We start from the raw sequence: 2,303 nt of genomic DNA, 5'->3' as shown, positions 1-2,303 counted from the left end.
CTTTTTTGAGACAGGATCCCACTCTGTTGCCCAGGCTGGGGTGCAGATGTGCTATTATGGCTCACTGCAGCCTTGGGCTCAGGTGATCTTCCATCTCAGCCTCCTGGGTAGCTGGGACTACAGGCTCACCCCATCACACCTGGCTAATATTTTAATACTTTTTTGGTAGAAACAGGGTTTTTCCACGTTGCCCAAGCTGGTCTCTAACTCCTAGGCTCCAAGCAATCCTCCCAACTCAGCCTCCCAAAGTTCTGGAACTACAGGTGTGAGCCCTGCACCTGGCCCCCTTCACCTTTCTGTGTAAGCAGTAAAACGAGTACAATGAAAGTGCATACTTCACAAGGTTATTGAGAGGATTAAAGGAGATAATACATTAAAATGCTCAATAATTATTGGCTATTATTAATATTGGGTCAATTTAATTTAGTGATTCCTGTGAGCTAGGCCCTATAGGGCTATGGAATGGATATCTTGTAGTTATAATGCCCATAGATGATTGTGTGTAAATACGCACACACACACACACCCAATCTTGGGGTGTTTTGGGGAACTCACTGACAGCACTACCTTCTCTCCCTGAGACACTGACCTGCCTCCTGGTCTCTGCAGCATTGCAGGGTGAGGAGCCACTGTCTTGATCTACTTTAAAACACTGGACCATGCTTATTGGACTATACTGAAGAGAAATTAATGAGCATGCAGTTAATCTCTGCAGATTGACTGAGGGCTCTGTCACTTTCTGCTTATAGCTTGTAGTCCTCAGTTCTTTTCAAGTTAATAGCTTGTGACTTTTTGGTCACTCTTTCTGTGGGCTGGGCTGACTGCTCACCCGGCTTCTCTGCAGGAGCAGCATGTGCATTGTTTCTGTTGCAAATGGTTCCTGGAGCTAGAATTAAGAGAAGTGGTTTTGCTGATACATTTTTGTGGTTTGTCTAACACCTTCTTTCTATAGCAACACATCGCCTCTAGTTTTCCTCTTTGGGTGTCTGTTTGTGTTTTTAATTTCCTTTTTGTAGAGTCTTTTTTGATTAAAAATTTCTCCATGCTCAAAAGATGTTGAAATTCCATTTTAGCGTTTTGATAAGGGGTGGCTATAATATTTGATATTCAAAGCAGCAGCAGCAGCAGCAGCAGCAAAGCTCTTCATGTGATACGATACTGTTTGACATGCCCCAGCTTCTGTTGCCTTTTAAAAGACAGCATGGTGTGGTAAACAGAGCTCTTCACTGGCAGTCAGAAAAACTGATGTCAAGTCCAGTATCTGCTCCTCCCTTCCCTGGATTCATAGGGCAAGTCACATCACGGCTCTGCTGCTGAGTTTCTGTTATTTGAATACATTGAGGCTAGGGGCCACAGCAGCAGAGATGAGCTAAGGCCACAAGTGGAGCATATGGATACCAGCAACTGCAGAGGAAAATCTCAGTGACTGGCAAGAGCACATGATGCAGCCTGGGCCCCTGCTGGGGAAACCGAGGGATTTAAGGAGCTGGTTTCTGGCCAGTCTCCCTTTGCTTTTCCTCCCCCAGGTTGGTGAAAGTGCTAAAAACATGAGTTCACTGTGAAACACGGAGGCTTGAGGCAGATCATTACGGAAGCCTCTTAGCTCCAAAATTTGGGGTTTACCATAGGAGGGACTGGACTAAGGCAGGTGCAGGAATATTGGTGAAGCTGCTGCTGTTATCTTGGGGGCCCCAGGCAGGAGGAACAAAAATCAACTTATTTAATCTTGCAGTTTTCGTTTCCTCATTTCTGAAATGGGGATAATAATACCTCCTCGGCTTGGTGCTCAGTGCAGCTGTGAGGAGCAAATGTGAGAGCGGCTGCGAATGTGGTCCTGGTAGCACTCCCAAGCAGAAACATAAGCCATGTCAAGGTCCCATCTGGGAAAATCTGCTCCTTTCCTGGTCTTCCCCCTCTGGGCATCAGAACTTTAACTGCATTTGCCAGGTGGAGTCCATACAGTTCAGCTAACAGTACTTTAACACAACAAAAAGACTTAGCTAAAAATGACTCAATGCAGGCAACATAACTCTTAGGCTGCAAGCGATCCTCCCAACTCACAACATAACATAATTATCTACAACAAACCACAGATCCTATATTGGCAGGTTTTAATTTTTTTTTTTTTGACACAAGTTCTCGCTCTGTTGCCCAGGCTGGAGTGCAGTGGTGCAAGCTTAGTTCACTGCAACCTCCGCCTCTCAGGCTCAAGTGATCCTCCCACCTCAGCCTCCCAAGTAGCTGGGACTATAGGCATGTGCCACCATGCTTGGCTAAATTTTTTTTCTTTTAATTTTTGTGGA

General features: G+C 45.4%; 1 annotated feature.

Annotated features, from left to right (window-relative positions):
• Positions 2,034 to 2,103: an enhancer, noted in NCBI's record as "active region_29868". NCBI's record gives its function as "activates an Ori minimal core promoter by ATAC-STARR-seq in GM12878 lymphoblastoid cells {active_cell/tissue: GM12878}" and the evidence as "EXISTENCE:reporter gene assay evidence [ECO:0000049][PMID:35858748]".

Source organism: Homo sapiens, chromosome X (assembly GCF_000001405.40).
Source record: "Homo sapiens chromosome X, GRCh38.p14 Primary Assembly".
Lineage (NCBI taxonomy): Eukaryota > Metazoa > Chordata > Mammalia > Primates > Hominidae > Homo > Homo sapiens.
Note: the sequence above shows the minus strand (reverse complement) of the source record. Positions and strands in the feature narration are given on the sequence as shown.